Source organism: Homo sapiens, chromosome 9 (genome assembly GCF_000001405.40).
Source record: "Homo sapiens chromosome 9, GRCh38.p14 Primary Assembly".
NCBI classification, from domain to species: Eukaryota; Metazoa; Chordata; class Mammalia; order Primates; family Hominidae; genus Homo; species Homo sapiens.
Window position 1 is genome coordinate 135,653,577 of NC_000009.12, and position 21,082 is coordinate 135,674,658.

Here is a 21,082-nt window from a genome sequence, read left to right on the forward strand (position 1 = left end):
AATTAAAGAATTGGTTAGAACAACAAAATTTTCTTAAGGTATTGATTTACTCAATAAAATTACAAGAGATTTTAATTTTTTTAATGCAAAAGTTTAACTTTTATTGCATCTCACTGTTTTCAGCTTTCTCTCCCCTTCAAGAAGGCCTGAAATAAGTTTCTCCTGCAAATTACTCATCATCTCCCGTAACTAGTTTCCTCAGGTTCTAACTGCTGTTGTGGCCTGATGCCACAGAATATTTTATCTTAAGGATCTCAGCCAGGCACAGGGGCTCACACCTGTAATCCTAGTACTTTGGGAGGCAGAGGCAGGCGGCCCTCATTAGGTCAGGAATTCAAAACCAGCCTGATCAACATGGTGAAACGCCATCTCTACTAAAAATACAAAAAAATTAGCCAGGTGTGGCTGGCACCTGTAATCCCAGCTACTTGGGAGGCTAAGGCAGGAGAATTGTTCAAACCCGGGAGATGGAGTTTGCAGTGAGCCAAGATCATGCCACTGCACTGCAGCCTGGGCAACAAAGCGAGACTCCATCTAAAAAAAAAAAAAAAAAAGATCTAAAGGAAATGTTTTCTTTCAATATAACCTTCTGTGCTCTTGGCTTCAAATTCTTCTATGAAGTTGGAAACTTTCATTTCTGACCCAGGACACACTCTTCCTATGTGTCTAACTAATTCAAGTCCTAGGAAAGCTGAGATTAAAAAAAATAAGGTTACAGTATCTGTGTAACTCTAGGTATTGCTTTTAAAGACCTTGTGCCATTAAGTTACAGGGCTTTGACTCCGGTCTAGAAAGGACACAAAGCCTACTAAACCTTAAACACGAACAGCAGTTAAAGCCTCCTCTTCAGACCCATGAGATGACAATCAAAATAACCTGCATTCATGAGACACAGGACTGGATATTAACACTATCCAGCGCCTCTAGAAGAGGTGAGCACGTGAGATTCTCAGGGCTGATTATGAGAGATAAAATTAGTTCGGAGTTTCTCTACAAATTAAATATTAATATCAAGGCCACACTGATGGAAGACCGGCATAAAAGCCCCTTGGAAAAACTGGCCCCATGTCACTGACATGTGACAAGTAAAGACTGTCACTTCCTGACAGATCTAGGAATCCCAGAAACTGTCTGTGGTCTGTGTCTTTCTCCAGAGATGACTTTGAGGGCTTCAATGGTTAAAGAAGAGAAGCGGGCTGGCCCCAGAAAGGCACCCAGATCCTTCCTCCCGCCCCTTTCCCAACGGCTCCTTCTACTCCCATCCCTCATTCATCCTTTCTTTCATATTGATTGAGACCTGTTGTGCCTGTGTGTGCCAGGAACTCAGCCAGACCCTTGGACTTATGGGTGCCCTGCCCGCCTCTCCTGTGCATTAAATACCTTACAGGCTAGGGCTGAAGGCAGGTTTTGAGTACGAAAATAGAAGATCTCTAAAAGTTCCTAAAACAGAGACAGAGAAGGGATAGTGATGGATTTGGGGAAGGACATGGGTGCCTAGAGAGGCCGGCTAATGATGACTATCTCTTGGGTAGGGAAGGGGTGGGGGGGACTCCTCCACCAAACAGATCCCTGTCTAAGCACAGCAGGGGAAGATGCAGGGAAAAGCCTCCATCTACACCCCAGATAACATCTACTGTCACTTTAGCTGCAAATCCACCTGCCAGAAAACCTTCTTGTGAAAATCTTGTGAAAAGGGAATTCATCTACTCAGATATGCCCTTGTCAGTTCCACTCTGTTTCAACAGAAGGGAAACCAAGCAAGATGCAGGAAGGCACAGCCCAGGGGCATCTAGTGCTAAGGCAGCTGCTGCAGGCTGTGCCCTCTGTCCAGCTGGCCGGGACTCAGCGGCTGGGAAGGCCTGTCTGGATGGTGCTGAGGGCTCATCTGCCTAGCAGGCTGCTCAGTCAGGAACACCCTGTTGATTCTCCAGGGAGGGCAGAGCCGGGGCAGCCAGGCAGGCTGGATCCAGCCCCACCTCCCAAATGCCCTGTCCTGTGGAGGAGTGACTCGGTCAGGACTGCTTCTCAGCAGCCATGGGCAAAGCTCAGGGCAGGTTCCACTTCTCCGCAGGCCTCCCGCCGCACAGGGAATGAGAGGAAGCCCCCGCCCTGGCTCTCTGCCCTCCACCTCTCCAAGCTTAGTTCCGACCCCGCCCGCCCCTGGCTCACTGGCCTCTGCCTCCTCTCTGTGCCTGGCCATGCACCACCTCATTGCTGCCTCTGCAGCACTGCACCTTCCGTCCCTCTGCCTGGTCACCCTTCGCCGGGTCTTGCTGAGGCTCCTTCACAGAGGCCACAGCACGAGGGGCATCCTCCCCTCTGACGTCTCAGGAGGAGGCTCTGCTGCCCCCGAGTTCCTGAGAATCCCTCGCCCTCACCCAGACCCTCTGCCTGGGGCCCTAAATGCTTTCACATCCCTCCTCTGTCCTCAGACTCAGAAAGTAGAGCAGGGTGGGAGCTGGTCAGAGGGGGCCACTGCCACTCATCAGGTTTCCCTGGGGAACTTGACAGAAGAGGGCTTGGTGGGGGTGGGTGCCCCTCTCTAAGCTCGAGGGGTCAAGCAAGTGGATCCCAGATGGGAGGGCCCCAGGGTGCTGTATGCAGAGCGGCCCTGGGCTGGATCCCCCGGCCAGGCCAACCACTAAGCACACCCTGCTCACCAGGGTCATGAATGTCCATCCTCTGGGCCACTCCTGGAACCAGGCTTCGGCCTCTCTCCTGGGACACTTATGTTCTACATGGGTCGCGGCCTCTGCAGGTGTGCACCTGTGGGCAGCATCGTTTTCCTGGCTGATGAAAGAGGAGATGGAGTTAGGGCAGGTGTGGCTCCGCGCTGTTGTAGCAGGTCAGGTTTCACTAGCAGCTGAACAGGCAGGCCCCCATAACAACTTTCAGCACTGACTGAGTGATTAAGTTAAATATTAAAAGCTGGCCAGGCGCGGTGGCTCACACCTGTAATCCCAGCACTTTCGGAGGCTGAGGCAGGCGGATCACCTGAGGTCAGGAGTTCAAGACCAGCCTGCCCAACATGATGAAACCCCGTTTCTACTAAAAATACAAAAATTAGACAGGCGTGGTGGCACGTGCCTGTAATCCCAGCTGAGTACTCAGGAGACTGAGGCAAGAGAATCGCTTGAACCTGGGAGGCAGGGAGGCAGAGATTGCAGTGAGCCAAGATCACGCCACTGCACTCCAGCCTGGGTGACAGAGCAAGACTCTGTCTCAAAAAAAAAAAAAAAATTAAAAGGTGAGAGAGCCAGCACCCTTCTACAAAGGTTAGAATGTAACAAAAGTCCACCAAGAGTTTTGCCCAGGCGTTTCCTGGGCCTTGAAGCATGACAAGATAACAAAGGAATTCTTAACAGGACCCATTTAGGATTAAACAAGTTTTATTGGGGTCTAAAGGAACGCCCCAAACCTCCATGATTTAGCAGGAGACAAGATAAGGGTAATCACCCCAGCACCTGGACCCCTCCAGATTAAATAAATTTACTGAGGCTCCAGAGGAAGATCTTCAGGACTCAGGCGTTCGTTATAGATTAGAAGAAGTTCATCACTTATGTCTTAGGGGAATGCACACTTACACATAGACATACAGCTTTGAAGGTATATAAGCTCTGGAAAACTTAGTAATTTTGAGTTGGTCTGGTGCTATTATCTCAGTACCCATTTACAGAAGCAAACTCTCTTCTTTCCCAGTTCATCTGCATCTCGTTATCAAGCCGTGAGAATTAGCTGCCCAACCCCGGGTTCAGTCTGGGTACAATTTGGCGAGCCAGCCAGGAGAAAGCGGCTAAGCAGCTTCACAGATATGGCCAGATTTTGTCGGATTTGGATTCCTAACTATGGATTAATGGGAAAGCCCTCATGTGAACTGTTGAAAGGGGCCGACCACGATCTTTTCGAGTGGGAAGAAAGGCACCATCACTCGATCAACAACCGAAGTGTAAGTGAATCTTCACCCCCGCCTTAGGGCTTCCAAATCCTCCTCAGCCCTTCCAACTGGATGTGCACGAGAGACTGGGTTTGGCACTTGGAGTCTTAATGCAAAGGTGAGGCGAAGCGTTACAACCCATAGCACATGTTTCAAAGCAGCTTGACGTGGTAGCCAAGGGCTGGCTGGGCCTTCCACCTTCGAGCAGTTGTTGCTGCTTGCCTGCTACTCGAGGGAGCTGAGACGCTGACCTTGGGGCGGCCTGTCACAATACATACGCCCCACCACATGTCAGTGTTATTGCAGCACAAAGGAGGTTACTGGCTGACAGCAGGCCAGTTGGGTAGCTATCAAGCCATCCTTTTAGACGACCCCGAAATAAAGCTGCAAACCACCAGAACTCTAAACCCTGCTCCACTATTCCCTGCCACCGAGGAGCTGGAGAAACTCTACATAACTGTCTAGAGGTCATAGACCAAGTGTTCTCCAGCCACCCGACCTAAAGGCTGTAGCCCTCCCGCGTACAGACTGACCTTGTTTGCAGGTGGGAGTAGCTTGGTCACCGACAGGAAGAGCAACACCATGTATGCCGTGGTGACCTCCTCAGAGGTAACAGAGGCAAGAACTTCGTCGGCAGGAACCTTGACACAGAAGGCAGAGTTAATCGCCCTTACAACTGTCCCAAGTTAAGAGCGCCAACATACACGCTAATTCCAAGTACGCATTCATGATAGTTCACGCCCACAGAGCTATCTGGAGGGAAGGAGGGTGGCTAAGAGCGGATAACACCAAAGTTAAAAATGCTAAGCAAGTGTTAGAATTGTTAGAGGTGGGCCGGGTGTGGTGGCTCACACCAGTAATCCCAGCACTCTGGGAGGCCAAGGCAGGTGGGTCACCTGAGGTCAGGAATTCGAGACCAGCCTGGCCAAAATGGTGAAACCCCGTCTCTACTAAAAATACAAAAATTACCCAGGCGCGGTGGCGCGTGCCTGTAATCCCAGCTACTTGGGAGGCTGAGAATCACAAAAGAATCGCTTGAACTGAGGAAGCTGAGGTTGCAGTGAGCCAAAATCGCGCCACTGCACTCCAGCCTGGGCGGCAGAGGGAGACTCCATCTCAAAAAAAAAAAAAAAAAAGTTAGAAGCGATAAAGGCCCCACAGGAAATAGCCATAATGCATTGCCCTGGCCATCGACGCAGTAATTCCGAAGTGGCAAGGGGTAATGTTTTCGCAGACTGCACCGCCGGGCATTCAGCCAGTGACAGCATCGAAATCCAGGCGCCCTTAATTTCCCAAATAGACTTCACGGCCCTCGAGCCCCGGTATGCTTCTGAAGATAAAAAGGCTGCAGAAGATAAAGGATTCAAACTAAAGGAGGAAGGGTGGAGGCTAGAGAGGAAACAGCGCAGGCATAGGCTGGGCGGCAGTGCATCTCGTCCACCCGCTGTTAAAGTACGTTCACGATAGCCTGCACTTTGAGAGAGTCGCTTCATTGGCCTTTGTACAAAATTATTTGAAAGGGAAAAGACTAAAGGCCCACGTAGAGAATATCATTCAACACTGTCATCTGTGCGCCCGGAATGAGCCTAATAATCATAGCCGAGGGCAGCCTGGGCAACAAGAAAGAGGCAGTCACTCACCAGAAAACCAGCAAATAGACTTCACACAGATGCCACCAGCCCCTGGGAATGCAAATACCCCCTAGTTCTAGTGGGCACCTTCTCTGACTGGGTGGAAGTGTGCCCATGTCACTCCGAATGAGCAACTGAAGTAAAGTTTTGCTCAAGGAAAGCATACCACGATACGGGCTCCCCGACGTAATCCAAAATGATAATGGGCCTTTGTGCACCTCTGAGATAACTCAACAAATGAACGAAGCATTGGAAATGAAGTGGACGCTGCAGTCAGTGTGGAGACCTCAATCTTCTGGACAAGCTAAGAGAATGAACCGCAGCCTAAAAACATTCATTGCCAAGTTGTGTCAAGAGGCTCCGTTGAAATGGACTCAGGTACTTAGCATTGCACTGCTCCCTGTAGGTGGGATTAAAATAAGTCCCTGCGAAACCGTCTTTGGGAGACCCTTTGCAGCCAATCTGTCTCGGGCCACCAAAGTGCCCCTAGGTAGGGAGTCGGCTATTCAGAATCATGTTGCTCACTTAGGACAAACTCTTAACGTTTTGCATAAGTTTGCTTCCAACACGGATGCGGTGAATTCCACAGACACCTGCCACCCACTCCTACCTGGCGATCAAGTGCTGCTGAGGGAATGGAAGGAAGCTGCCGCGATGGGAAAAATGGAAGGGCCCTACCACGTGCTCCTGACCATGGACGCAGCATTGAAGCTGGCAGGCATCAAGCCTTGGGTCCATCACACATGAGTGGAAAGATCCCTGCCGGCCAAGAGCCCTGCAGCACAGGAATCTCTGGCCACGGCTGGGAAGCAGAACCCCTAGAAGGCCTGAAGTTTCTATTCAGAAAACGCTAAGACTTTCTCTTCTAGCGCTCCGTCTTGCAATGCCTGCTCTTACCTCTCATCTTCTCTTACGCTGGGCACAGGACTAGGCAGATAACCTGCAGCCAGCCTCCTTCAGGGTCTGTGGCCTCTCACCCCTCTCTAGCACCTCAGGGTTGCCTTGGCGGGGGTCGCCCATCCAAGGGAAGGACTGGATTTACCTGCAAACCTTTTTGGGAAATCTAAAATCTTGGACTGGGTCACAAATGACAGGAGTAACCAGCGCAAATGTCTCAGAGTGGCCCATAAACAAAACTTTAGAAGGCCCAGGGCACAAAAGGCCATTCTCAGTAAACAAAACAAGGGATGATGCAACCGCTTTAGCTATGCCCTTGCTGAGTCCGAAGGTGGATGTCCAGGCTATTGTACCACAAAATGTCCAGTATAAAAACGGCTTTCTTCGAATTTGGAATGGATTTATTTGGCTAACTGCCTCCACCGGACATTTAAACCAAATAGCCCCCTTACGCTACAAACGACAGAACCCCTCCCTTGACCACCGACTTTAACATAAGTCGAATCATGAGACAGATTCCGCCCACCGCACATTGACCACTGGCCTAACAACTCGAATCGTGGGACGGATTCCGCCGCACATTGACCACCGGCCTAATGTAACTCAGGTTATGAGACGGATTCCGCCACACATTGATCACCGGCCTAACGTAACTCGGATCATGGGACAGATTCTGCCGCACATATTATAGTGCTACAACAAAGAGATTTGGGTTTTGTTTGTTTTTTTTTGAGACAGAGTCTCTGTCGCCCAGGCTGGAGTGTGGTGGCGCAATCTCGGCTCCCTGCAACCTCTGCCTCCCGGGCTCAAGCGATTCTCCTGCCTCAGCCTCCCATGTAGCTGAAATTACAGGTGCCCGCCACCACGCCTGGATAATTTTTATATTTCTTTTGTAGAGACGGGGTTTCACCATGTTGGCCAGGCTGGTCTCGAACTCGTGGCCTCAAGTGATCCTCCCGCCTCAGCCTCCCAAAGTGCTGGGATTCCAGGCGTGAGTCACTGCGCCCGGCCCTCAGTAAAGAGATTTGTTTGCCACCAACTGGTCCCAATGGCCTTGCCTACACTGGTATGCCCCTGACGGAAGCCAGTGGCTTTGTGGCACCATTTTATGGCCATGGCTGGCCTCGGGCACGTTGAGACACTGCACTCTAGGCCTCCTATGGGCACAGGGACCTTGGTAAAAACCATCCAAAATCCAGTCAATCTCCCACATATGCGTAACAGATGGACAAGGCCAGTCTTTCACAGGTACGGTCATCTGGCCGTAATATTTATGCCCTCAATGGGCTTAGAAATGGTCATATGGCACACAGAGGCACTCGCTAGTTTTACGCAGTGAGGCTTAAACGACAGTCTCCAAAGTGTTTCCCGTGTGAATGCTGAAACATACCATAGGTGGAAAGCTATCCTGCAAAATCAAATGGCCCTAGACATTCTAACAGCGGCCTAGCAGGGACCCTGCACCCTCATCAGAACCGAATATTGCATGTATGTACCTGACAATTCCGGGAATATTTCTCTGGCATTAAAAGCTATCATCCACCGGGCGCGGTGGCTCACGCCTGTAATCCCAGCACTTTGGGAGGCCGAGGCAGGCGGATCACGAGGTCAGCAGATAGAGACCATCCTGGCTAACACGGTGAAACCCCGTCTCTACTAAAAATACAAAAAATTAGCCGGGCATGGTGGCGGGCTCCTGTAGTCCCAGCTACTTGAGGGGCTGAGGCAGGAGAATGGCATGAACCCGGGAGGCGGAGCTTGCGGTGAGCCGAGATGGCACCACTGTACTCCAGCCTGGGCGACAGAGCAAGACTCAAAAAAAAAAAAAAAAAGGGCTATCGTCCACAGATGCAGGTCATCTCCAGCCCTAGGTTATCGGTTAATGACCGAACCACATCATGGCTTAGCAGAGGGTCTCCCTCGGGGCTGAACGTCCTCGCAGTCCAGGCCGTCCTTGCAGGCACCGGCATCATGTTACATTGTGGAATGTATTGCTGTTGCACATTGTTCCAAAACATCCCTCCAGCTCATACTATTTCAACAGGCGCTTTCTCTAGGCCCCCAAAACAGAGAGTACTACTGGGAACAAATCAACATCTTTCACTCCAACACTGCGTTTGGTGCCCCGTAACAATGACCTCCTATCAGCAGGAAGTAGCCAGAAAGATTATAATGCCCCATCCCCCCATGATTCTCATAAGAAATAAATATACAAGCATGATAGCAATCATGCATAATTTGACAGTGGGGATTGTGGCAGGCCAGGTCTCACTAACGGCTGAATAGGCCGGCCTCCACGACAACTGTTTCAGCACTGACCGGGTGGTGAAGTCAAATATTAAAAGCTGAGAGGGCCAGCGCCCTTCAACAGAGGCTGGAATGTAACAAAAGCCCACCAAGAGTTTTGCCCAGGCCTCTCCTGGGCCTTGAAGCATGACAAGATAACAAAGGAATTCTTAACAGGACCCGTTTAGGATTAAACAAGTTTTACTGGGGTCTAAAGGAACGCCCCAAACCTCCATGATTTAGCAGGAGAAAAGATAAGGGGAATCACCCCAGCACCTGGACCCCTCCAGATTAAGTAAATTTACTGAGGCTCCAGAGGAAGTTCTTCAGGACTCAGGCCTTAATTATAGATTAGAAGAAGTTCATCACTGTGTCTTTAGCTGAATGCACACTTACACGTAGACCTACAGCTTCGAAGATATATAAGCTCTGGAAAACTGCAATTTTGAGCTGGTCTAGTGCTATTTTCCCGGGCTTCTGCCTGTACCCGGTGACAGAAGCAAACTCTCTTATTTCCCAGCTCGTCTGCATCTCGTTACTGGGCTGAGAGAATAAGGAGCGAATAAGCGCCCGGCCGTCGGTTGAGTCTGGGGACGCTGTGACTCACCATTGGCTCCGGCCCCAGACGCTGTGCTGGGGAAGGAGCGGGAGGGGATGGGAGGGGAACAGGGACACCCTGTACTCCACAGACACAGCCACCATGGGTCCTCTTGCAGGCTGAGAGAGAGGCTGTCCCCTGCATTTGGGACAAGGTGCCTGCCTCCAGTGAGGGGACAGCAGGTTCCTTTGCCCATGGATCCAGGAAGCTCCCACAAGGGAGTGGGGTGATCTTCCCCAAGGTAGAGAGGGCAGCAGCCTCGGGGCCTTTGGCTGCATGCCCAGTGGGCACAGGATGTGTGTGGACGGGCCACAGAGTGGGCCGCCCTGCAGGGCTGGAAGCCGCAGGGCAGCAGGGTATAAAGGGGGTGGGCCGAGGGCTGAGGCGTCCACGGCAAAGATGGCTCTGCTTCTGCTGAGCCTGGGGCTGAGCCTCATCGCAGCCCAGGAGTTCGATCCCCACACCGTTATGCAGAGGAACTACAACGTGGCCAGGGTGTGTCTGCGTTGGGGTCTGTGGGGAAGGGGCCAGGCTTCAAGGCACCTGTCTTCCCCCAGCCTGGGGTCTCTGACCTGTGACCAGGGCAACTGGTCCAAGGGGAGCCCACCTCTCCTCCCCAAGCTGTGACAGCAGCCTGGGAGAGCAGGGGTTACTCCGGGAGGGTCGGGTGGGAGAGGCCTGGGAGAGTGACTGGGGCCCTGAGAGGTTAGAGGGGGCCCTGGGAGGGCAGAGGGGAAAGCTGGAGAGTGGAGTGGCGGCCAGCAGGGAGATGGGGGCCCTAAGAGGACAGAGGGGTTCCTAGAAGTATAGGGGAGACCTAGGGAAAAGAGGGGGACTCAGTGGGAAAGGGTGGAGCGGGGGACCTTGAGAGGACAGAGGGGGACCTGGAGGGGCAGAGGAGAGACCTGTGGGGCAGAGGGGGCCCTGGAAGGGCAGAGGGCATTCTGTGAGCAGAGGGGGGACCTTGGGATCAAAGGGGGGATCTGGGGACATAGGGGAGACCTGGGGGGCAGCGGGGGCCCTGGAAGGGCGGAGGGCATTCTGTGAGCAGAGGGGCGACCTTGGGGGTAAAGGGGGGATCTGGTGACGAGGGGAGACCTGGGGGCACTGGAAGGGCGGAGGGGTTCTGGTTGGGAGCCAGATGCTAAGGGGCCGGGCCCTGGGAGGGAAGACTGTGGGCGCTAAGCATCCCCAGGGCTGTCCCGCGGCCCCCCACCCACTGGAGCTCTTTGTCTTCAGGTTTCAGGGGTCTGGTATTCTATTTTCATGGCCTCAGATGACCTGAATCGGATTAAAGAAAATGGAGACCTGAGGGTCTTCGTCCGGAATATTGAACACTTGAAGAACGGCAGCCTAATATTTGATTTCGAATACATGTGCGTGTTGCCCATCTCAGCTGGCATCAGGAAGACCCATGCCCCTGCCACCCCAACGCATACTCTCACTCTTGCACACACACGCTCGCACACTCACTGACTTGCACTCTGGTGAGAGCCTGAGCCTGTGCGTGTGACCCTTGGGGGCAGGGTGAGGTGGGAGCAGGGACTTGGTCTGCCTGGCACTGTGCTCTTCCCTGAAACATAGAGATGAAATCGCCCCCTTCCAAGGCTGGGGTGAGGTTCGAGGAGATGAGGGTGTCCGGTGGGCTGCAGCAGGGCCCAGCCCAAGAACTTGGGGCTGTGGAATGAGGCCTGGGCATTGGGAGGGTGAGCCTGTGCCCTGGAGGAGGGGTGCTCTCTGCCATCGCACGTCCAGGGGGCTGGAGCTCCACTCCCGGCATCTTCCTGGCTGGCTTCCAGGGTGCAGGGGGAGTGTGTGGCTGTGGTCGTGGTCTGCGAGAAGACAGAGAAGAATGGGGAATACTCCATCAACTGTAAGTGGAAGCCAGGCTCCTCCTGGTCTCACAGTCGGGGGTCTCCTTTCTCCAGGGCCTGGGCCATATTCTGGTGAGCACTGACTCTGGGGATTTTAGTTAAGCCCCTGACAGCTTGACCCTGAACTGGAGGGACCCATCCTGGCACCTACCCAGGGGGGCTCCTGGCCCAGGGGAAGCAGGGAGGCAGGTGTGTCATGCTGAGCTCTGGGGGGTGAGCCCACTGAGGGGCCACCAGGGTCTGCAAGCCAATGACAAGGAGGGAGGGGGCTGTGCCGCTGCTGCCCGCCCCCTGTGCAGGGGTCTCCGCTGGGTGAGCACCGTGGGCTCCTCCCCTCCCGCCTCAAAAGGCCACTTGACCCCCCATCCTCACTTGCGGCCACACAGCACGTGTCACAGGACCCTGAGGGTGGCGGGGCCAGGCCACGCTGAGCCATGTCTCCACGCAGATGAGGGCCAGAACACAGTGGCCGTCTCGGAGACTGACTACAGGCTGTTCATCACCTTCCACCTCCAGAACTTCAGGAACGGGACCGAGACCCACACGCTGGCGCTCTATGGTACCTCCGCTGTCCCCCTCTGACCCCCTCGGGGACCCCACCTCCTCTGAAGTCCGGCCCAACCCTGGGCGGAGGAGGGTCTCGCAGTGGCCCTGGGGTTTGGAGAGGTGGTTCCCGTTGGCTATTCCTTCCCACAGACACACCGTTAGGGTGCTGGGTGCTTCAATCTGTCACCTCCCATCTCACTTGGCACAAAGCCCCTCTCTGGTCAGGGCGTGACCCCCTGCCCAGCCTCAGCACTTCCTGAGCACCCCCAGCAAGGCCCAGCTTCACACAGAACCAACTCTGTTCCCAGCACGGGTCCCATAGCTGGAACCCTCCTTCCTGAGCAGATTTGAAGAAACCTGCGAAAAGTACGGACTTGGCTCACAAAATATCATCGACTTGACCAACAAAGGTCAGCCCCACTGCTCCCGGACCAAGCGGGAGCCGGGACAGGGTGGGGATGGGAGGTGTGCCTGCGGGGTCCCTGTCCCTGCGCTGAGAGCCCCCTCTGTCCTTCCAGATCCCTGCTACTCCAAGCATTACAGGAGCCCGCCCAGGCCTCCCATGCGTGAGCTGCGACTCGGGACGGGCAGGGGGCTGGATGGGGAGAGCTTGGGGCCAACGTCAGAGGCTGCGGGGTCCCACCCCAGGAGGTGCCCATCCCTCCCCCTGGTCTGGGAACCGAACACAAGGTGCTTTGGTGAAAGATGCTGTGAAAAGCATCCTGGAGTCGGGGCAGTGATGGGGCCTTCCAGGGTGGTAAGGTCTGAGCAGGAAGTGAGATGGGGCCCTGTGTGAGTCTCCAGGGGCTGATGTCACCATATGCGGGTGACTAGGACAACCAGGATTTACTTTCTCACAGCCTGGAGCCCGAGGTCTGAAACCCGAGGTCCGCAGGGCTGTGCTCCCTCCACCAGCTCCCGGGAAGGGTCCTTCCTGCCTCTTCCGGCTGCTGGGGGCTCCAGGCATCCCTGGCTTGTGGCTGTCACTCCAGCCTCTGCCTCTGTCTGTGTCTCCTCTTCTGTCTCTTCTAAGGACACTTGTCATTGGATTTCGGGCCCATCTTCATGCAGAATGATCTCCCGTCAAGACCTCAACTTCACACCTGCAAAGACCCTTTCCCATCAGATGCCCTTCACAGGCTCCAGGCACTAGGAAAGGAGCATGTCCTTTGAGGGACACCACTCAGGTCACCACAGGCTCCTTCTCCGAGCTGCCCCTCCCTTCTCAGACATGGTCCCAGCCCAGTAAAAACCCCCAGGGCCCCCTTCCCTTCCCAGAGCCTGAGCCTCCCAGAGATACGCCTCTGAAGGCACCTCTGCATTTCTGCACGAGGGTTCCTGAGGGTAAAGGAGTGGATGTACCTGTGGTGCGTGGTGGCCCCAAGATGCGGGTGAGATGAGATGGCAACCGGCAACCAAGGCCCTACCCCTCCCCTCTCCGCCCCTCCCCTCGCTGACCTTCCCCTCCCTGTCCCTCCCCTCTCTGCCCCTCCCCTCCTGTCCCCTCCCTGGGCTCAGCCACTGCCTTTGGGGGAAGATGATCAACAATGTCACAGCTGAGGCAGGTGCCTGCGCCCCCGCCTCCATGTTTTGGTGAATAAAAGGGAGGTACCAGCCAATCTGCGGTGACTTTGTGGGTTAAAAGTGATTGTTGGTTGGGCCTCTGTCAGAGATGTGAAAACGACTGCATTTGTATGATGCTCTCGAAATCACAAAACCGCAGAGGGGGACATGAGTCGGTGATTTCCAGAGGTTACAAATGGAAGGTAGGAAGTCAGCCAGAAAGGGGCACCAGGAGGGGCCCTGGTGACGATGGAACGTCCTGCACTGTGACCCTGGCGGTGGACATGACCCTGCACGTGCAGCAAAAATGCGGCTCTGTCTGAGGAGCCGCTGGCCCTGCCCCCTGCCCGGGGGAGAACATTTTGCAGCCCGAGACCCAGAAGCGTCTGTGCTGGGGGTGTGCGCTGGGCGGCCCCAACTCTGGCGTCTGCGTGAGCTCTCCAAGGGGTCATCCTGTGGGTCACAGTCCCGGGTGCTCAGGAAGAACCTGTCCCCAGAGCCAGTGCCTGCTTGTAAAGGAGCTAAGTGGAGCTGTCTTAGGATGAGGGTCTGGATGCCACCCCCCACCCCACCTCCATTGGGAGCTCCAGGCTATAGGGTGAGGCTGGGTAGAGTTTTAGTGCCCGCTGTATGGGTGCCAGGCTTGGGGAAGGAGCAGCTCCATTGGGATGGGAGGGAGTGGGAGGCACCTGGCATTCCCATGGCTGCCCAGCTTCCGGCCCCTTGTTTGGATCTGGGCCCAGCCTACTGAGCTGCAGCGGGAACGCGAGAAGCTGCCCACTCGGCGGGGCCCGTTGGTGCACAAAGCTGGCCTCGGAGGAGCAGAGCCAAGGCTGCCAGAAAGGGGTGCTGGGAGGCCACTGCCCATTGGTGCAGGGGGAGCCTCTGGGCCCCAGAGGAGGCCTGGGCATGGGGGTAGATGTGGACATAGGCAGAAGCCTTTAGCCCCACCCCAGAAGACAGCACAAAGGGGAGCTGAACCAGAGCTGAGTGTCCCCAGCACCCACCCCACCATCAGCTGCTCAGCACCAGGCTGGCCCTGGCCTCAGACTCCTGCAGCCTCAACACCAGGGGCCTCAGGTGGACAAAGGAACAGGGCAGTGGGCAGGGCATGAAAGAACAACCAAGAGACCACCCTCGTTGTTTCCATTTGGGGTGGCACTCAGTCAAATAAAAATCTAGTGAGGCCGGGTGCAGTGGCTCATGCCTGTAATCCCAGCACTTTGGGAGGCCGAGGCAGGTGGATCACCTGAGGCCAGGAGTTGGAGACCAGCCCGGCCAACATGGTGAAACCCCACCTATACAAAAAATACAAAAATTAGCCAGGTGTGGTGGCGGGCACCTGTAATCCCAGCTACTTAGGGGGCTGAGGCAGGAGAATCGCTTGAACGTGGGAGATGGAAGTTGCAGTGACCCAAAATCATGCCATCGCACTCCAGCCTGGGCAACAAGAGTGAAACTCCATCTCAAATTAATTAATTAATTAATTAATTTAATTAAATGTATTCAGACCCCGACTCCTCATCCTCCACTGCTCCCTCCTGGTCCAAGCACGCCCTCCTTTCCCTGATGATGAAGAAGCACCCCAAGGTGGTCTTGCACTTCCGTGCTGCACCCCAGGTTATTCTCTCCCAGCAGCCAGACCATCCCTGTTGAAACAGAAGTCAATGTTCTGCTTCCTGTGATGCAGAGAAGCTCCGAGCAGGCCCTCTCCCACTACACACACAGGTAACAGCTAGGAAGTTTGAATCAAATATAAACAACTTTCTAAAGGTACTCGAGTGTGGAGGAAGGTTGACTCCCATGACATCTACCATGACCCTATTTTCAAATATGGTCCCATTCTGAGGTGCATCAACAAGCATTTTGGGTGCTTGGGGAGCACAATTCCGTCACAACACCCTCCAATCACCATCTCTGCTCTGACAACCCATGGGACTCATCATATGGGTGGGGACACCTTTGGCACAATTTGGCATCATCTTCTGGAGCCCAGAACCCCCTACCCTCCACCCCCCAACCCCAGTGCTCAATCCCAGGCTCTCTCTGTTTAGGGCCTGTGTCCCCCTAGCTGTGTTCCAGGAGGGTTCCCCAAAGTGACTGATATGGTTTGGCTGTGTACCCACCCAAATCTCATCTTGAATTCCCACATGTTGTGGGAGGGACCTGGCGGGAGGTAACTGAATCATGGGGGCAGGTCTTTCCCATGCTGCTCTTGTGATAGTGAATAAGTCTCACGATATCTGATGGTTTTAAAAAGAGGAGTTTCCCTGCACAGGCTCTCTCTCTCTTTGCCTGCTGCCATCCCTGTAAGACCTGACTTGCTCCTCCTTGCTTCCCACCATGATTGTGAGGCTTCCCCAGCCACGCGGAACTGTAAGTCCAATTAAACCTCTTTGTTGTGTAAATTGCTCAGTCTCAGGTATGTCTTTATCAGCAGCGTGAAAATGGACTAATACAGTAACCAACACACAGGCCCAGAAAGTTGGCCCAGCCCAAGATTGGCTATTGATTTTGGAAACTGGCTTTGTGGGAGCATAACATTTTGGTGTCTAAAGCCACAGAGAAAGAACAGACTGGCTCACATTTCCCAAGATTAAGCCCCCTCTCCAAGTCAGGGACACCCAGGGACACCTCACCAGGCACCCTGACCACACAGCTATATAGACAGGCCAGGGCCCAGAATCCCTGCAGCCAGAGAGTCCCCATTTGTCCCTCTGCCCCAACTGCCCATGCCTGGGGATGCAGCTGATTGTGGACCTGGCACTGGCTGGTGGCCTCTGAGCTCATGGGGTGCACTCCCAAGAGCAGGCGTCGGACCTGTCGCAGGTGAGACAGTACCTCCCAAGGGGCTCCTGGGGGCTCCCAGAAGGCAGGGCCAGGGACAGGGCTGGGAGGACAGTCCTGACATCCAGTCAGCATCATGGCGGTCAAACCCTGAGTGAGCCTTCTGGACAGTGGGCCCACCTGGCTCCTGGCTGGAGTAGAAGTGTCTCCCATCTCCCACACCTGCCTGGAGATCTTTCCGGAGAGCAGGACTCTGAGAGTCCCTGCCTCAGGCAGCCATGCCACCCCATCTGAGTCGGCGCCCAGGAAGCAGGCCTGAGAGGCCCCCTAGTACCACACTCCCTGGTCAGTGTAGCCAGATGCCCACGGGCACCGCTGCCCACAGCAGAGCATGGACACCATGGGCACCCCCAGACCAGGATGTGGGGCTCAATCCCAGGGTTGCCCTTTGCACAGCTTGTAAATGGCTGAGGGGGATTCCAAGGGTAGCTGTGGGGTTGGAGCCTCTGCTGTGGTCCTGGAAGAAGCTCTGAGCTCAGTCCAGCAGGGCTCCAGGGACCCCAGCAGTGGGGCAACACCAGGCACTGGAGATGAACAAGGCTGACCATCCTCCCCACTTGCTGTTCATGAGCCACCATCCACAGGAGGTGCTAGGGAGGCCGGCGATCCCTTGGCCAGGGCATAGGGTCAGCCTGAAGGCCTGGAACCCACCAGCTTGGCCAGCACCTCAATGCGTTCCTGGGCACAATCTCAGCAGGACACCAGGCGCTGACTGCTGGTGTGGACGGAGCTGGACGGGGGAGGAGAGAGTTCTGGCCCCCCCATCAGCCTCTCTCGCTTCTGCAGCTCTCCGGGGGAGGAGGGGGTTCTGGCCCCCCATCAGCCTCTCTCGTGCCCGCAGCTCTCTGGGAGCTGGCACACCTCAGCATTGGCCTCCAACGACTCTGCCCAGATCAAACCTGGTGGGCGCTTCAGGTTCTTCATCAACACCTTGGACCCGAAGGACGGGAACCTGCATGGGGAAATCCTTGTGCCATGAGTCCAGAGTGCAAGGCGGGCTCAGGATGGGTGGGGTGCTGGGTGGGCTTGGTCAGCCCTTGGTGGAGGGATGCTGCTTGACCACCAGCTGGTCTGACTCCCGCCTCCAGCCCTCTCGCCTGCAGTGTGGACTCGGCCACCCACCTGCCTCTGCCAGCCATGCCCGGCTTGTGTGGCCCCTCACCATAGCCCGCCCAGGGTCTCTCGGGCATCGAAAGGACAAGCTTAAGGGTCGTGCAAATGCACCGCGTGTACAGGACGGCTGTGTGCACACGTGCACCGGGGCGAGGGGCTGTCGATGCCACTTCCCTTCGCAGTGTTCTCTTAGTTACCGACAGCGTGGCAGCCTGCAGTTACCAGGGAAGCCGGAGCTAGGAGCAGAGGCAGGCGAAGCCCCAGGAGGGGAGGCATGTCCACTCCCCACAGCCCCTCCCATACCAGAGGCCCTTGACAATGCGCCTGCAGGTCAGGCGACCAGCTAGGTGTGGGGTGAGCCCCCGCCTCTGTTTCCCCAAATGACTGGTATGTTCCTGGGCACACATCCGATGGCTGCCAGCCTGCACGTCACGCCCAGCTGCCGGAGCTACTGCGGGATTCCAGAACAAGGAACGTGACATGCTCGGCCTGGAGCGGAACAAGGCACCTGGCTCCCGCACCCTCGACGGGGCCCTGCCCAGTGGACACGACCACGTGGAAGCCTCTTCCTCCTGGCACTGCAGAGCGGATGGCGGATGCAGATCCCACTTTGGGGATGGCGGGCACTGCTGGTAAATTCTAGGCACAGGAGCACCCTCTGGACAGGGCTTCCTAACCTGGGGCCTCTTGGCATGGGGCACCCACAGCGCAGTGCCAGGGCCAGGAACCGCTCACTCAGCAAGAGCAGCAACTTCCCACCGAGTGCTTTTCAGGCAAGGAAGCCACTGGATTTCTCCATGTGCTCTAGGGCTCCGTGACCCAGGAGAGAGAGATTTCTCCCGGGAATGGGGTGTGTGCCGCTGAGCGCCGGCTGCAGACGCCCAGGGACCGGACCAGGCCCAGGCAAGCTGGGGGTTTGGGGTGGGACGGGACCATGAGGAGAGGAGGGGATGGGGACCCAGTGCCTCAAGGGGGCGGCAGCGGGCATGGGACGGCTGAGCAGATGTTCCCACCGCTGGCTGGAGGACTCTAGGAGGCGGGGCCATCTGAGCCTTCACGGGAGTCTGAAGGAGGCTGGTGACCCCTGGCCTCTCTGACAAGGAGCGGCTCTGCCCAGCACAAATGGGTCCCTCAAAGCTCTGGTGTCACCATCTGAGATCAGTCTGGCCAGGCTGAAATGGAGCTGTTGGCAGGGCCATGCCCCCTCTCGAGGCTCTCGGGGAGACCCTGCTTCCTCCCCTTTCCCAGCTCCAGCGCCACTTCCTGCCTCCTGGCCCCTTCCCCCTTCAGAGCCAGCAGCGTGAAGTAGCAGCTTCACCTCTCCCTCTGCGTCTTCCCTCTTCTTGCCTCTCTCTTATGAGGACACTCGTGACTGCATTTGGAGCCCACCAGGCAATCCAGGGTCATGCCCTCACCCCGAGATCCTGAACTTCGCCACAACTACAGAGCCCCCTTTGCCATATGAGGTGACATTCACAGGTTCCAGGGTTTAGGATGCGGACGTCATTATTCAGCCAATCACAATGTATATCTCAAAAACACAAAGAATAAGCAAGCTGGAGTGGCTACATTTATATAAGGAAGGGGACCATTCCCAGGGATCAAGACAGACATTTTGGATGGGATCTCAGCAGTTTGGGAGGCCAAGGCAGGAGGATCACTTGAGCCTAGAAGTTCGAGACCAGCCTGGGTAACATAGCAAGACAACATCTCTACAAAAATAAAAATTAGGCGTGGTGGCTCACACCTATAATCCTAGCACTTTGGAAGGCTGAGGCAGGCGGATTGCCTGAGCTCAGGAGTTCAAGACCAGCCTGGGCAACATGGCAAAACCCCATCTCTACTGAAAATACAAAAAAATTAGCTGGGCGTGGTGGTACACACCTGTAATCCCAGCTACTCGGGAGGCTGAGGCACAAGAATCGCTTGAACCCAGGAGGTGGAGTTTGCAGTGAGCTGAGATCGTGCCACTGCACTCCAGCTTGAGCAACAGAGCGAGACTCTGTCTCAATAAATAAATAAATAAATAAATAAATAAAAATAAAAAATAAATAGCTGGGCATGGTAGCCTGCACCTATGGTCCTAGCTACTCGGGAGGCTGAGGCAGGAGGATCACTTGAGCCCAGGAGGCGGAGGCTGCAGTGAGCCAAGATTTTGCCACTGCACTCCAGCCTGGGCAACAGAACAAGACCCTGTCTCAAAAAAAAAAAAAAAAAAAAGCAAAAGCAAAAATATATATATATCATAACCATAAAAGGGTAAACTCGTTAAAAAGACAGAACAATTGTAGATGGCTGTGCACTCAATAAATGCGAGTCAAATACAGGAGCAAACAGCTAAAGATCACAAGCGAGAGACAGACAGATGAATGAGTCAAGGATGTTTAACTCTTCTCTCCCAACTTCTATTAGTTCCTGGAGCTGCTGTAACCAAGGACCCCAAAGTAGGGGGCTCAAAACAACAGAAGTTTATTCTTGCACAGTCCTGGAAGGCAGCACTCCAGGATCAGTGTCACCAGGCTGAAATCCAGATGTCGGCAGGGCTGTGCCTCCTCCGAGGTGGGAAGGGAGGATCCTTGCTGCCTCCCCAGCTTCTGGTGACTCCAGGCTTCCCTCGGCTTGTGGTTGCATCACTGGGATCTTCCAGGCTAGCATCTCAAATCTCTCTCTGCTCCATCTCCACATCCCTTGGTCCCCTGCGTGTGTCAAGTCTCTCCCCGCCCCCAGCTACAGAGGCAGTAAGAATGTCAGGGGACTGCCAGGAATTAGGGAGAGGGAGGGATGAAGAGGTGGAGTACAGGGGTACTCAAGAGGCTGAGGTGGGAGGATCAATTGAGCCCAGGAGGCAGAGGCTGCGGCGAGCCAAGATCGCACCACTGCACTCCAGCCTGGGTGACAGAGCAAGACCCTGTCTCAAAAAAAAAAAAAAAAAAAAGATGTTCCTAATCATGGGTCATAGAATAAGCCTCAATATAATTTAAATAATGTAAAGGGGATTTAAATAATATAAGGAGAATTCATTTACTTCATCACTAAATTTTCCCACTGAATATCCCCCAATCAAAGAACAAATATTCAAATTACACACACATGACAAAGAGCTCCTTGCAGAATATTTGAAGAATTCCTACAAATCAATAGCAAAAAAAAAAAAAAAAATCCCAACTTAAAAATGGAAACCCACAGGAACAGACACTTCACAAAAGAGGACACGATAGCAGCCCGCAGGCACAGGAAAGGTGCTCACCGTCGTCAGAGAGATGCAAATCCAAGCCTCAGGGCCAAGCCGATCCACACCCACCCTGTCGCTGCTGGCAAGGATGTGGGCGGCTGGTAGGAATGCAAAGTGGTACACCCGCTTTGAGAAAAAGTAAAAGCACATCTACTTATGACCCAGAATTCCACTCCTAAATATTTAACTTAAAAATGGAATTATAAGTCACCAAAAGACTTGGATAGTTAACAGCCCAAAACCAGAAGGAACCCAAATGTCCATCGAACAGCAGAACGGATGAATCAATTGTAGGATGGTCACATAAGGGAAGACTCCGCAGCAATGGAAGTGAACCAACAGCAATGAAACGGAACGGACATATTTAATAACGGGCATCCAAAGGGGAAAGGAAGAAGTAAAGTGATAGTTCTTTGCAGATGATATGATCTTCCATATAGAAACCCCTCGAGGGCCGGGCGTGGTGGCTCATGCCTGTCATCCCAGCACTTCGAGAAGCCAAGGCAGGCGGATCGCTTGAGCTCAGGAGTTCGAGACCAGCCTGGGCAACATGGTGAGACC

The 21,082-nt window shown here is 54.5% G+C and overlaps 1 protein-coding gene across 2 annotated transcripts, besides 3 other annotated features; it reads left to right on the forward strand.

Annotated features, from left to right (window-relative positions):
• Window positions 7,743-8,244: an enhancer, noted in NCBI's record as "H3K4me1 hESC enhancer chr9:138553165-138553666 (GRCh37/hg19 assembly coordinates)". NCBI's record gives its function as "activates a minimal SCP1, AML or CMV promoter by ChIP-STARR-seq in primed H9 embryonic stem cells {active_cell/tissue: H9 hESC(primed)}" and the evidence as "EXISTENCE:reporter gene assay evidence [ECO:0000049][PMID:30033119]".
• Window positions 9,733-13,385, forward strand: LCN9 (lipocalin 9). 2 transcript variants are annotated; one of them, NR_171893.1, is made up of 6 exons: window positions 9,733-9,841; window positions 10,586-10,722; window positions 11,146-11,219; window positions 11,669-11,779; window positions 12,075-12,176; window positions 12,285-13,385. NR_171893.1 is itself a non-coding variant. In NM_001393661.1 (6 exons), the coding sequence occupies exons 1-5, from the start codon at window positions 9,746-9,748 to the stop codon at window positions 12,165-12,167; spliced, it is 474 nt and encodes a 157-aa protein (NP_001380590.1). In that variant the 5' UTR covers window positions 9,733-9,745; the 3' UTR covers window positions 12,168-12,176; window positions 12,285-13,385. The 2 variants fall into 2 exon arrangements, 1 of the variants encoding a protein (NP_001380590.1); NM_001393661.1 differs by having other exon boundaries at window positions 12,112-12,176.
• Window positions 13,122-13,622: an enhancer, noted in NCBI's record as "H3K4me1 hESC enhancer chr9:138558544-138559044 (GRCh37/hg19 assembly coordinates)". NCBI's record gives its function as "activates a minimal SCP1, AML or CMV promoter by ChIP-STARR-seq in naive and primed H9 embryonic stem cells {active_cell/tissue: H9 hESC(naive and primed)}" and the evidence as "EXISTENCE:reporter gene assay evidence [ECO:0000049][PMID:30033119]".
• Window positions 13,623-14,123: an enhancer, noted in NCBI's record as "H3K4me1 hESC enhancer chr9:138559045-138559545 (GRCh37/hg19 assembly coordinates)". NCBI's record gives its function as "activates a minimal SCP1, AML or CMV promoter by ChIP-STARR-seq in primed H9 embryonic stem cells {active_cell/tissue: H9 hESC(primed)}" and the evidence as "EXISTENCE:reporter gene assay evidence [ECO:0000049][PMID:30033119]".

Excerpts from the sequence above, each read along its gene's own strand:
- LCN9 (NM_001393661.1), top strand. The coding sequence starts at position 9,746 with ATGGCTCTGCTTCTGCTGAGCCTGGGGCTGAGCCTCATCGCAGCCCAG. Across the intron at positions 9,842-10,585 it reads GGAACTACAACGTGGCCAGG|GTTTCAGGGGTCTGGTATTC; the intron begins GTGTGTCTGCGT and ends CTTTGTCTTCAG. Across the intron at positions 11,780-12,111 it reads CCACACGCTGGCGCTCTATG|ATTTGAAGAAACCTGCGAAA; the intron begins GTACCTCCGCTG and ends CTTCCTGAGCAG.